The sequence below is a fragment of the Homo sapiens genome, chromosome 5, assembly GCF_000001405.40.
Source record: "Homo sapiens chromosome 5, GRCh38.p14 Primary Assembly".
NCBI lineage: Eukaryota > Metazoa > Chordata > Mammalia > Primates > Hominidae > Homo > Homo sapiens.
The window spans coordinates 162,081,946-162,096,836 of NC_000005.10; the positions used below are offsets into that span (position 1 = coordinate 162,081,946).

Genomic DNA, 14,891 nt, shown 5'->3' on the forward strand with positions numbered 1-14,891 from the left:
AATAACAGATTTTAAAACACAGTGACTATCCAGCTAAGTTTTTTCCCAGAAATGCTTACGTAAAAAATGATCACATTCAGTTTTCTAGACAAAATGAAGTTTTTTTCCCCTTGAGAGTACATACTTGATTGAATTAATTATGAACTTTTCAGTGCTTATGTGTTCTGCCTTGATACTACTGGTGATTATGTACCCAATGGATATTAGAAAGACTAGAGAAAGTAATAATAGGGAAGATGGGGGAAGAAGCATGGATTCTATAAGAGCCTAATTTTACAATATGCACATTAGTGTTGCAGCCGTTTGTAAGAGATGATAATATACTGCCAGAAAAGACAGTACTTTATCTTGTTATTTCATTAAGGCACTCTCATTTTGTAATATGAATTCATATTAATTTAAGGCTTTTAGCCTTATTGTGTGTTGAAAGATCTAAACTTGTAAATCTGTAAATTACACAAACAGCCCTCTTCTATTATATAAACCTTTTTGACGTAACACATGCTTAAAATTGGTGTGAAGTTAGAATGTTTTCAAATTTCATTGGGGATTTTTTATATTGTTCCAGAATTCCAGGAACAAATGTAATTTTGGACTTTCCAAAATGGGTTCATGAAGAACTAATTTGTTCACTCTCAATATGGAACTTTTTTAAAAAAGTAATAATTCTAAGTGCTAAGAATAGTGCTTAGCTCATAAGAGATGTCTGTGAATAAACACAAATGAGTGAATGAACACAAATTTCTATAATCTGGAGTATTCATAATTCCTAGTTATGTAAATTCATATTATATAGAGATAAAAATAAGCTATTTATATAACGAGAGTAGGAGGAAGGAGGAACAAGAACAGTACTAACAACAAGAAGAAAAAATAAGAAAAGACTTGATTAACTTTTAAAGCGAACAATAAAACCTTGATTTTGAGAAAATATTTTATCTATAAAGAGTCGATGAAAACTTAGTAGTAGTCTTCTAGAATTGGCCATGACCACGAGGGCAGATTTGGCATTTGTTTACCTTGAATCTAAAGATGAATTTTTAGCACAATTTTAGAAAAGAAAGAAACAAACAAACAGAAAAGTATAAAAAAAGATGAACAAGAAAAATTTCCAGAATTATGGTCATTCAGATGTATGTACACATGTTGTTAAAACTAGTAGTGTATGAAAATGAAAATTTAATCAACTATCTGAAAAATTTTGCTCCACCATTTCAAATATCTAAACATGAAAATAAAATTGGAATATTTCATTTCCTGTCACCATAGAGCAATATGAATTTTCAAATACATTCGATACATTTGAATATCTGCCTAAATATGGAACCAGCCTTCATTTTCATACACTTGTTCTCAGTGACCTTTAAATGATTCTAAATCTGAGACAGTTTAATCTTTTGTTCATGTGTCATGTCAAAGTGCACAGAAAATCTCCTATCCATCTGTGGACTCCTTGCAAATATTTAAAAAATTATGTATGTTTGTATATATGAACGTTTTTGCTACAGAAAAAATCAAAAGTTTTATCGGTTCCTCAAAATATTTTGTATTCTAGAAGAAAACTTTCTTCTTACCCACATAAATTGAGATTTGAAAATGAATGAAGAAAAACATTGATAGAAATAACCTCAATATCAAGTTGGAGATCCTGACAGAGCTAAGTCATGTTCTACATTGTGAGAACGTTTTTGGTATTGTCTTGCATTGTTATTTAAGCGTTGTTTTTTTCCTAGCTGTTCAGGTATTTGTCTCCTTAAATAGATGAGGAGTGTTTTGATATCAGCATTATACTTTGTACTTCTTTCCATCTGCACTGTTTTCAAAAAAGAGTCTCAAATATAAGCTGTTTAATGAAGGATCAAGAAATCTGAATCTGTAAGTCACTGTTTCCCAAGTTCAACGTTTTTTGCCACATCTAAGTAATACGTGGTCATTTATGACTGAACTTTTTTCATAAAACAAAGTATTTTTTCAGTAAAATTATTTTATTTAATGCATTTAATAAAAACAATACAAACTGGAAATCAGTGTCACTTTTCATATTAGAAGACAACTGCAAATAAATTCAATGGTACCAGAACAATGTAATCAAATTTTAATTACGTATTTTGTCTCCCAGATATGCCAAGCTTGCTCTTGTTCTCTTCAGAAGGCAGATTAGCAAATTGAAAAGAGTGGCTAAAGACAAATTAGAAATAAACTGAGACTTTGCCCTCAGTATAATTAGATATGCTGAAGGAAAATTAAAAAGGGAAAAACTTTCTAATTATATGTTTCAATGTCTTTTAATACTGTACCTATGTGACACTTAATTAAAATTGTCTGTGTACTAGAGCAGATGTCCCAAGCCTTAGGAAATGCTAATACGGGGCTATCTTAATATCACAAAAATATTGAAGATGATGCTATTTTGAATTTTCAGTTTACCATGAAACACTATAGCAAGTGACGTCTGACTTACCTAAAAGCAGTTACCAAAGTAATTATTTACTCTAAGAAAAGAAAGTCCAGGTGGTTCTATCATACTCTCTTGCAGTAGCTCTTAATTACGGCTGCACCTTAGAATTAGCTGAATACCAAAGTCTTGGTCTCATAGAGACCAATTAAATCAGTATAAGGTAGGATTTCAGACTGGCATTTCTTTAAAGCCCTCCACTTAATATTAACATACAGCCAGGGATAAGAGTGACTAGCCTATGTCTTATTTTGAAAACTCAGTATATGCCGCACCTTGCATATTTGTAATATGTTAGTCATCATATAAATGAAGAAATACAAAGTATTTCCTACTTGATACATTTCTTGATGGTAAATAATTACGTCCTTCTCTTTTATGGTTTGCATATCTTCTCTGGTTAAAATTGGTCTTGGATTTTCATAGAACATGGCAAGAAATGCAGTCAATGTGTGTTTCTGGAGTGAAGGAGAGGAAGCCTTCTTTATTACACTGACTTTGTCACCATGTTATCATTATAGTCCAATAACAAGTATAGTGTATAAGTTCTACCATTTGATAAAAAAAAAATGCTGCATGAGACTAACGTAATTATGAACCCACTTCAGGTTACTGCCTTTAAAACTTCCATGTTAGTGTGTAGTGTGCAAGACAAGCTGTCCCAGTTTTCCCAAGGTCATGCAGGTTATGAGGCCGTCAATATTGTATGTAGTGATATTTCACAAATTTGCATTGTTGTACGATATTTCATTATATGCATATGCCATATTTTATTTACCCATTTTACTGTTGATTTGAGTTTTATTTATTTCTGTATGTGACAAATAATGCAACTGTGAGCTTCCTTGTACATATATTAAGTGGAACGAGGTCATCATAGCTTTTATTCTGTAGCAAGGTATACACAAATGAGAAAGTGAAAATACTATTTTTAACATGTTGTAAATAATTCTACTGAAGTGCTTTATAAAGAGATAAATGAGAAATATTCCAGTTTAATAATCATTTGTTAACATTTCTTTCTAACCACAATTTAACATGCATATTTTTCTTTCTATCCTACCCAGCATCCATGGACAGTTGACATGACTTTAGGATTTGTTCTTGTGTTAACCTTGGCTTGCTTTGTTTCTTTTTTTTTAGTACTTTTTTTTCTTCTTTTTTTTTTTACTTTTTTTTTTTACATTTATTTTGAGTTCAGTGATACAAATGCAGGTTTCTTATATAGGTAAACTTGTGTTATGGGGGTTTGTTGTACAGATTATTTCATCACACAGGTATTAAGCTTGGTGCCCATCAGTTATTTTTCCTGATCCTCTCCCTCCTCCTACCCTTCACTCTCTGAAAGGCCCCAGTGTGTGTTGCTCCTCTCTATTTGTCCATGTGTCCTCATTGTTTAGCTCCCACTTATAAGTAAGAATATGCGGTATTTGGTTTTCTGTTCCTGTGTTAGTTTGATAAGGATAGTGGTCTCCAGCTCCATTCATGTCCCTGCAAAGGACATGATCTCATTGTTTTTTTATGGCTGCATACTATTCCATGGTGTATACGTACCACATTTTTTTTTTTATCCAGTCTATCACTGATGGGCATTTAGGTTGATTCCATGTCTTTGCCATTGTGAATAGTGCTACAATAAACATACTCGTGCATGCTTTGTTTCATTATGGTCTAAAAAATATTTTAAATACATGTCATTTGAGTTTTCCCATGCAGAGAATCATCAGCACTTGAAGAGAGCAATGGCAACCATACAATAGCATGTTACATAGGCAGCTCCTTTTAGTATTAACTGTAATTGTTACATGGGCACATATAGAAAGAGAGTGAGCCACTTACTAAGTTAATTTCCACAAATATTGAATCTTCTTTTAAAAAATTCATACTCATATTTTGAAAACTATTCATCGGGTGTCTTGCCAAATGCCCAACACTTACAAAGTTTTAGAAAACAACACCTTTGAAGACAGAAGCAGTTCTTGTCCTTAGATGCTTAATGCTCTGCTTTTAACCTCCATAGCTAAACTTGATTAGTTTGTTTTCTTATGAAGTATTAATGTTATAAAAAGCATATAAGATTAAAATATAACTCAATGCATTATCAAAAATTGAAATAAAAACCCATGTAATTGCAAAATGTGTCTGAAAATAAAATATTGCCAATGTCCCAGAAAACGTCTTCTTTCTTTCCTAGTTTCTGTCCTCTTTCTCTTACCTCAAATAACTGCTGTCCTAACTTTGAGCACTACAGATAATTTTTCTTGTCATTAAATTTTATGTAACAGAAGTGTTACATATTTGCCCATGTATATAATGTCTAGACATCTTTTGCTCAGATTTTTATTTTTCAAATTTATTTTGCTGCATGTAGCAATATTTCACAAATTTGAACTGTTGTACAATATTTCATTATGTGCATAAGCCATATTTTATTTATCAATTTTACTGTTGACTTGAGTTCTATTTTTTCCTGTATGTGACAAATAATGCAACCGTGTACTTTCTTGTACATGTCTTTAAGTAGACGTGTGAATGCATTTTCTTTTGGAAATAATCAATAGATTAAATTTCTGGGTTATAGAGTACAGAAAATGTTCATTATTAGCAGATAATGCCAAAATATTTTCCCTCCAGCAGTATAGAGTCCTAGTTTCTCTACTTCTTTTCCCTTTTATTTAAGAAGGGTTGAAGCAAAGAATAAAAACAATAAACTATGATAGGGAGGTGTAATCCATAGAAAATGGACTCTAATGATAATTTCAGAACATAACCTGACATTGATTATTTTTTTCTGTTCTGTTCCCCACAATGAGCATCGTCACTGCCTCTCCACGTTTTCCCTCCTCACCTTCTGAACTAACATAATTTTAATTTGGTATCTGTGAAGCTCATGCGCTTTTGGGGAAGCTGTTTTCATATTTTATGCTAGTGGTAGGTTTATATAATGAAGGTTAAATATTTATCATTTTCTCATTCTCTAGCCACTGATATCAGTTTCATGTGGCTGATCTCATTTAGGCTAGTGATATTAGAAAACAGGAGGCTTTTGGGGGGCTTTTAGAAAAGTGGCTATTTTCCTCTTTTAGAGAGAGCTTTTGGAAAAGTTTATCTTTCTGTTTTTGTGGATACATACAAAGAAGCATAGAAGGGAAAAGTTGTTGCCAGAATCTTGTGACCACATAGATACTTCTTTGGGTTGAAGTCAATGCCATGGAGGATAGAAGAGAGAGATAGAAAAAATTCTAAGATTTTGAATACGTAGTTAAGGAACTGAGTCGAAACTCCCAGAAGCTCATCTTACCTTAGGATTTACAATTATATCTGTCAGTGTCTCCCAATTTAGTTTGAATGTTGTGATACTTACAATTGAATTCATCTTAGCTAATAAAATCCCACAGACATTTATTTGATATGCATCATTTGTGGCTGTTAATAAAGTAAACAATTTGCATTTTATATATTGCAAACTAAGTGTCTGTTAATTGATTCAGCCAAACACACCAACAGCTGTTAGCCTAATATCAAAAAAAATTAAACAGGATGTGAGGTGAGAAAGTAATTTTAAGTAGGACAATTTGTTAGCAGAATGGTTTACTTTCCTGCTCTAATTCTACCCTGTTTGCATGTATACACTCACATGTGCACACTCATGCATAGAGCACCCTCTGAACAGGTTCTGCATAGAGAATTTGCATGTCCTTACTGGGAGGAATAAAATCCCACAGGCCATTGAAGGACCTATATGAAGGAGCAACTAGCGCCCCAATGGCCCCATCCATTGAACACCACTATGTCTCTAAAGAGTAGCCAGTCCTCCTGGATAGTACTGAGTGGAGTCCCCCTTCCCATGATCATATACTGAGTTCCCTTTGCCTTCTGAGGATGTACACTCACCTACTCTGCCTGTTCCTACACTGTTTACCAAAGCCCACCTTTTGCAGTGGCTGAAGGACATCCTTTAAATTGAACTAGCTTATATGTGTGCCTTGTCTCTGTTATATACATTGCTGTCCAAACAGAGGGAAGAGTTTAAATGAGGCAGATGATCACATCCATTACGTTAAATTGCAAGCTTTCCTTTTATTCTTCAGTGTGGGGAGATCAAATCATTTGTATCTGCAGTGGCAAGTTTATGAAACCTGAATGTTATTAACCTTGTGCTAAAGGCATCATGTCTTTTATTGGACTCAGGCATAAATTAATTTATTGTCCTAAGGGAAAATGAGCTGGAACAATCATTTATTTTGGATGATCTTATTGTTTAATGCATGTATAGCTGTAGATTCTTTGGTCCTAATTTCTTTCTCAAAGCCGTGAAGAATAATGGTTAAATGTTTAGTTTTGGCCAACTAAAGTGACTATTATGATTGTAACAGTGCTTCTTTATCTGTAAAACAGGAATAATTATGGGAATATCAGTGTTTTGAGGATTAAGTGAGAGAATGTATGTGAAATCTTTAAAGTTATACCTAGAACATAGCGAATATTTTTAATATTATGACTTCTCCGAGGAAAACTGGTGAGCAAAAAATTATTCCCACAAATCTTCATTGAGCACATACTCATGAAATTTATAGTTTAGTAATGAAGACAGACAATAGAGAAGTCAACAAATGCATATTGTGATAAATTCTATGAAACAATCTCTTGGTAGAACATGTGATGGGTGAGTGGGCAACAAATGTAGATAAGATAGTCAGAAATGGTCTCTACGATGGGATGTTTGTATTGAAACATGCTAATTAGTAGATTGAGGAGTGGAGCAGAGGAAAGGTTGAAGGCAGAAAGGACAGTTACATGCAAAGGTTCTGGAGTTTGGCCTGATTTCCAGAACTTAATTAATTCTCGGGTAACATGATGATGTACGGAACAAGAAATTCCTGTATTAATGATACTTTTGGGGCATGGGATTCCCAGTGGACCCTACAGCCTTGTGAGAATCTAGAGTAGCAGTGAGTCCCTGTGCATGTGGTAAAGGAAGGAATATTTATGAGATGTAAGTAGTGTATATTCACAATTTAGAGGTGACAATGGAGCAGAAAATCCAATGCATGGGAATTTTTATTAGAAAAGGTCAAAGATATCATTTTCCCGCATGTATGTCTTGATAGATTTATTTTGACGTATAAAATACTTTGCATATGAACTCATTGCACTTATAAAAAAGTAAACCAAAAATTGTACCAAGAAAATATTAGTGACACCAATGTTATGAAAGGAAACATTAAAAATATAAAAATAGTTTAAAAACACAAATAATTAATTTTTAAAATCCAACTACTTACCTGTGTTAGAGAAGGATAAATATATATTCAGTCTTTATTATGTCAAACATCAATAGATTTAAGGACACCTGAACAAACAGACAAATGCCTTTATTTCTCATCCAAATATTTGCTGTTCTACTATCCTGGGCAATGACTAGATTTTCCTCCTCTACCCCTAAACTTAGAGCTTTATTAAATATATCGAAATCTGAAATACCTAGGTGGAAATTTAAAATTCCAGAAACTGCATGACTAATCTTCACAATGGCAAATATCCAGAATATGTACCAAAATTAAAATGTCTACAATCTTGTTAAAATTGTGAGCAACCTCTCATTGAACAGTCTCTATGCAGTATTTGTTGTGTTTTATAAGCCACTTTTATCCTTCTAAATAAGATTGATTTTTACTTCTAATTACAAGTGTGAATTCCTGTTTGTAATCATGCCTAAATTCAAATTATGCATAAAACTGTAATGATGAGAATAAAAGTGAATAATCTAATATACAACATGGAGATTCAGATTTAGATCTAAAGCAGGAACGTGAGAATTTTTATTTAAAAAAAACCCATCCCAACACATACACATACACGTACACGTACACGTACACTTACACGTACATATACACATAGACATACACATACACATACACATACCATACACATACACATACACATACACATACATACAGGACCAGGAATATGTGCCACTGGTCTAACCACTCTATAACTGAGATCCTCAAATATTAATATGTATATGAATCATTTGTGAAACTTGTTAAAATAGCAATTCTGATTCCGGGGTCTGGGTGGGTCCCAGAGCTCTGCATTTCTGGCAAGCTCCCATGCAATGTTGCTGCTGTGGCCCCAGGCTCTCACTAAGGTGATTTTCTAACCATGAATATTTACAAAGACGAAAACTTCACATTCTTTTCTGACACTATCACTCAGAAACTATCACTCAGATGACAAAAATGTTTTTATTATGGTTAGTTAATTGAAGGATAAGTTTAATTTCAGTTATTTTCCTCTGTAAGAAAGTATTTTTAATTATATGGTACCAGGAGGAGTAATAACTTCTAAAGGCCATTCCATGTAGATAGGTACCTTTAGCCAGAAGTTCAAATATGTTTGCTCTCTATCCACTCAACTGTTGAGTGAATTCTTCAAATCATTATCAATCTGTTTCTGCCCAGACATTCTTATGGAGTCTACAGTTCCATAGAATGTTTCATCTAATGGTAAGACTTCATTATTCCTAGATAGCCTATCTGTGAATGCAGAGGTTTTTATGTCCAAAGCACTCTAGAGAAAGAAACAGCGTAGCTTTAATAAAAGAAGTTCCTTTTTTTAAAGACAAATCTGGAAACAGTCCCAGGTTATGCATCAGCTCCTTTAATTTAGACCTCAGCTAGAAAAGCTTAGGAGAAGAAAAAGTTCATTTATTTATAATGTAGATGGCCATTATTTTTCTTCCTGAAAAACATTTGTTTTTAGTTCTCCTCAGCCCATATTGCATTAAAAGTCTTGAAGCAGCATACATAGATGTAGGTTTTTGTTACATGTTTGAAGCTGGTGTTATAAATCTATCAGTGGTCACTTTATAAAATGATTAATATAATATTTATAATAATATTTGTTCCATTATTAAGGAATTTTGCTATTGATTAATTAATAATATAATAATTGTCATGGACTTATTTTCAGTACTGCGTGTTAGGCACTGTGCTAAGCACTTAAGCATTGTCTTAACCTTACACGGGAATGTAATATGAGAACTAATATTAAGCCTATTATAAGATGAAAACTTTGAGACTTATCAGGGTTAAATAACTTCCCCAAAGTTGTTAACAGTAAGTTCCAGGCAAGCCACAAATCCAGAAAGCAGAACTAGCATTTCCTGATTCCCAAACAGGTACTCTTAAGTACTCTATTTTACCTCTGGATGGCTAAGTAGACTCCTGAAGTGTGAAAAAAAAACTAGGTGATGACTCTGAGGGAATTGTTGGAGCAATTCTGGAAATTAGTCTTACTTCTAAAAAAGTATCCCTTATCTTTTCACTTTATGTATTTTCCCTCCTGGTCTGCCAGATAATAGTAATAACGGTAATACAGCACCATTATACTTGACTCATTTATTTGTTGGCATAAGGAGGTGCCATAAACAAACAAACTAAGCAATTTAGTACATATTCCCTTTTCTTGAAGAAAATTTAATAGGGTGCATGTGTCTTGAGAGAGAAAGAGAAAGAGAGAGAGAGAGATTTTTTGAAAAGGCACTTTTGCAAGAACAATTTAAACCGTAATATATTCTATTATGGCATCTGACGAACCTACCATATCCTTTTCTCATGAGTTATTGGAGGGATTTGAAAATTACTTTACCAGAGAGCTTTTTTATTTTCTTTCCCTAAACCAGTAAGATTTGGGTCAGAGGATTAAAGCTCTATTAGGCAGAGTTTAGCAGTGCTCTGGAGAAATGATGAATTGAAGCCCAAGAGGGATTTTTTTTCTGGCAGCACACTGGCCTCTGCTTGCGTGGAGGCTTTTCTCTCTGAGAGCTGACAGAACCATTGCCCAGCCCATTATACCCACTATGGGCACTCTGTGAAATTAATGCTCCTTTAAACTTCCTATGCTCACTAAAGTGCAAGATGTAAGACACTGGGTATGTTAGGCCTTTTGCAGATGTATTTTTGTGATGTTTCCTAGTCATACAGCTTTAAAGGAATGAAAAAAGAGGTTACTGTAATCATTAAGTTGACCCATGACAATAATTACTCTTAAGACTTCATCCTCTATCCTTATTCTCAAACCAGATTAATTACATAATCATCTTCTGCAATATTTAGTCATCAAGATCTATATATATGATGTACATAAAACATATGTGCATTCATGTGTACACACATACATACACACACAGGTATGTATATTTAACTACATTGTACATGTATATATACTTGATGACCGAGTATGAATGAAGAAAGGTGATAAATCTGGCTTGAGAATATATGAATATATACATTTATTTATTCAAGGTAAGTGTGGCAATTATGTCATAGCTGACAAAATTCATTCTATACTATATGTTTAGAAAAATAAGGTAAAGATGGGGGCAGGGGTGGGAAATGTTATATTTTAAGTTTGCATTTTTAAAAAATTTTACTCTAAACTACAAAAGTAACCAATATTCATTCAGTGTTGATAAAAATGGAAATGGCAGCTTTTGCACGGGTGTGTGTGTTGCCCCTGGATCTGGAAAATATCATCATCTTGGCGGGGTTGCCTTGGGACTTGGGTTAGGGGGAGAGGTAAGCTATAGGAATTCCAGTCCCCTTCCAGAGTCATTCTCAGGTGGCTTCCAGCCCAATTGCTGAAAGGGTTTCTGATAGGTTTGGGCATAGTGAATATAATGAAAGAATATTATGTGGCTTTTTGATCAGTTATAACAAGTCATTTCATTTCTATGATTATAGCACATTAACTATTGCATTTGCCATGATAAAGGGTGGTTTAAAGTCTGTAACATTTTTCTTCATAGTACCAGGTTCTTAACAACCAAAGATAAATGATCCACCTTTGCCTTCAGTGCAAGTGAGGGGAAAAAATACACATAAACACACCCTGGGGGAAGCAAAAGCAAAGAGATTGAGCTCTCTCCTTAGTGTTCAAGTTAGCGGGGAGAGGCATGTCTGGCAGTTTGTGGGAGGGAATCTAATTATCAGTCTCTTACTTTCATTAATAAGTTGGGGCAAGTGAACTCCTCAAAGAAGGAAAGAGCAGACATTATACCTGAATTCTTAGACTACATATGATCCTTTAACCTCCATTTTCACACAAATAGTTTTCTTATAATTCCTTCAGGAGACTGGGAAGTAGGCAGAAAGAACATCAAATATGGGAAAAGTAAAAATAACTGGCAAAACATGGTTTATTTGTCCATGGGAGGGCAAAGAATTCTGAAAACCTGAAGCGTACACTTGAATACAGTTAGTCTCCATCTATGCAGTTTAATTAGCACAACCCTCAAGGGAGAATTTTCAGTTTAAACATTTCTTTTATCCTGTTTTATTTCTTCTTTTCCACTGGTGGTCTGTGGATAAAAGTCAACTTGTGTGTAATCTATGTGTTTTTTGACCAATATGTTTTTTCTTAGCTTCACTAGCCAGAAATCTGATGATGACTATGAAGATTATGCTTCTAACAAAACATGGGTCTTGACTCCAAAAGTTCCTGAGGGTGATGTCACTGTCATCTTAAACAACCTGCTGGAAGGATATGACAATAAACTTCGGCCTGATATAGGAGGTTTGTTAAAGTCTTTTGCGTTGTGCTATAGATAGGAGCACATAAACATGTCTACTTTAATAGATAAAACATCAGTGTAGTTCAAGAGCAAGGAAGATTTAAATTATACTTTTTTATATGTTGTAAAAGTAGTGTTTAAATAGCATTCAGGCCTATGAGTGGGAGAGGTGTCAATACATTCAAAATGAAGAAATATTATTTTCAAGTGAAGCTTGAGAGCTAGAGTTAGAAATTCACATATTGCTAGATATCTCAGATAGAAGCTGTAGGAAAAAAAAAACAATGACCCCTTTATGAAGCAACATAAACAAATCAAACAAGACAATAACAGTAAAGAGAGGATATATTGTTTGCCTGTTTTTGTGTAACAAACAACCAGAAAATCTCAATGACATATGACAGTAAACATGTATATAATACTCCCCTCAGAGATATACTAATCTATGCTAAAGCAAGCTGGAGCTGCTTATTTAGGGCAACTGTACTTTACGTGTTCCTCGTTCTACTCTTGGGACCAGCAGGTAGCTAGGACAACCCTTCTCACAGTGGTAGAAAACAGCCAGAGAGTAAGTAGAAGCTCATGAGGCTGAATGCTTAGGCCTAGCACTGGCACACTCGCTTTTGTATATATATTATTAGCCGAAGCCAATCAGATGATCCAGCCCAAAGTCGAGAGGCAGAGGAATAGCCTTATCCAGGAGAAGGCAAGGATGTGAATGCCGGTTATAGAGAATTCAGTCCACCACAGTGAGTTAGGACATGACACTTTCAAGGAAAAAAATAAAGAAAAGACTAATGCTCTTGTTGTTCATTAAGAGTTAAATAAAGATGGAGACCATGCATTTGGTCATGGATATTATACTACAGATTTTTAATATCAGTCTTCTCTGAAAAATAGGTACATAATGGGTTTCCATATGGTTTTCTCATATTATCTGTGGTATCACAGGGTACAATAAATCATCAGGGAAGATTAATTTTGTGTTGGTGAGAGGAGTGTGAGGATAATGTGGTCATTAAAGGAATCAACAGGGAACTGTGATCCAAAACCAATTTATATTACCAGTTTGCTGTTTATGTCCACTTCATGTTCTGAATGCATATTTTTTTCTGAGTTATTAAGCAATTATTTTTCTATATGGGTCCAGTCAGGGACATGCTCAAGTCAATTTCAGAGCTTGAAGGAAACATGGTAAAATTCAAGATATCTGAGAGAAAGATGGAGAAAAGCTAAGAGCAGCATTTTCTAATTTATTCATTTTTATGTTAGTTTTAAAAGGATAATTGGTTTCAAAACTCTACTATGCGTGCTTGGTGCATGTGCATACTTAAGAAAGATATTTCTTTGAAAACAAAATAGTTATTCAAATGTGGTGAATTAGTAACTGGTACCAAATTAGTTGTGAATAAATTACTTCTAATGTAGCTAAATAAATCTATTCTAGAAAACAAAGATTAAAACATTAAAATCTTGCACCTCTCTATGTGCACACATTTCTATGTTTCTCTTTACAGTGAAGCCAACGTTAATTCACACAGACATGTATGTGAATAGCATTGGTCCAGTGAACGCTATCAATATGGTGAGTTTCCAAATAAAATTCTTTGTCTGTTTTATTAGCATGTTTGAGAGAAAATGTGATGTCATGGAAATAGCAAAAGACATGCCAGCAAAAAATTTAAGTTTAAAACTTTAGAAGTGAAAGATAGTCTTCCAGATCCTTTTTTTCTTGTAATATGAAGATAATTAAATGTTAAGTATTTTTATGAGAATTAAATGGGACCATATATATAATTAATTTGTGTAAATATGCTATGCTGTTGAAATTCAACAATCGGTGTTTACTTGCCAAGTGCTACTTACTACAAAATAGGATATAGTACTCAACTACTTATTAGAACATTGATAGTTTGGTTCAAATCAGAAATGTTTCTCAGATAAAATAGTGTGTCAGATGTAATAATAAATGTAATTCTGTTCTTATGTAACACTTTCTACCCAAATGTGAAATACAAAACTAGACTGGAGTCCAAAATATGATATAATAGAGAATGTAAAATAGAGTAGAGCAGAATGGAGTACAACATAACATAAGGTAATATAGTATTCTATATTATACAATATTATATATGATATAGTAAAACTATAAGTTTAAAATCATGTTTACCAAGCTAGCAATAAAGATGCTCTGCTAAGTGAGAGATTGATGTGCCAATCGAGGTGATATATCATCACCTGCATACTCCAAGCTAATAAGTTTGCTTGTTTAGTCATTAAACAAATTCTAACTTCTTTATAACCATAATTCTCAGAATATTTAGAGTTCTGAAATAAATTCTAAATATCTAAGAAGTAGAGGCTATATAGATAGTTTATTTAAATGCAGAACTTTCTTGTTTTAGGAATAACAGTCCCCAGAACTGTTCTAGGATCAAAGTTTGTGAAATAATAGTTTTAAGAATCAAAGTTTTTTATTCATGGCTTTTCTTGCCAAAATGTAGAATATAAATTAATTAATTTTTATTTCTACTGGCACATCACTAATTGGTTGACAAAGGATTTCGTAAAACAGGTTCTTTTCTCATTACTTGTAGACTGTAAAAATGAAACTAAATGATGAACAAGGGTGGAATGACTTACAGGGTAGAAATGTAGCTAATCACAGTGACACCCAGTGGGAGGTGGTGCAAGGAAAGAAAACAGAACAATGTGATTGAGGCAAAAGACTCAGGCCTAATGGTCTGAATTTCACACCATATCTGCTTTTTTTTTTTTACTGAAGTCAACCGCTCTCCAGTTTAGTGATATGTATACTTGATGGAAATAATTACAGTAATTTGTCACTATAGCATTTAA

The 14,891-nt window shown here is 33.5% G+C and overlaps 1 protein-coding gene across 15 annotated transcripts in view; it reads left to right on the top strand.

The window, feature by feature from the left end:
- Nucleotides 1-14,891, top strand: part of GABRG2 (gamma-aminobutyric acid type A receptor subunit gamma2) — an 88,075-nt gene that overhangs the window by 14,481 nt on the left and 58,703 nt on the right. For 13 of the 15 annotated variants that reach the window (NM_001375343.1, NM_001375344.1, NM_001375340.1 and 10 more), the window contains 2 exons: nt 11,883-12,034; nt 13,550-13,617. In NM_001375343.1, the coding sequence (NP_001362272.1) occupies nt 11,883-12,034; nt 13,550-13,617 (220 nt within the window). Of the gene's footprint in view, nt 1-1,555; nt 1,677-11,882; nt 12,035-13,549; nt 13,618-14,891 lie in introns of all 15 variants that reach the window. The other 2 variants (NM_001375349.1, NM_001375339.1) reach the window with 2 other exon arrangements.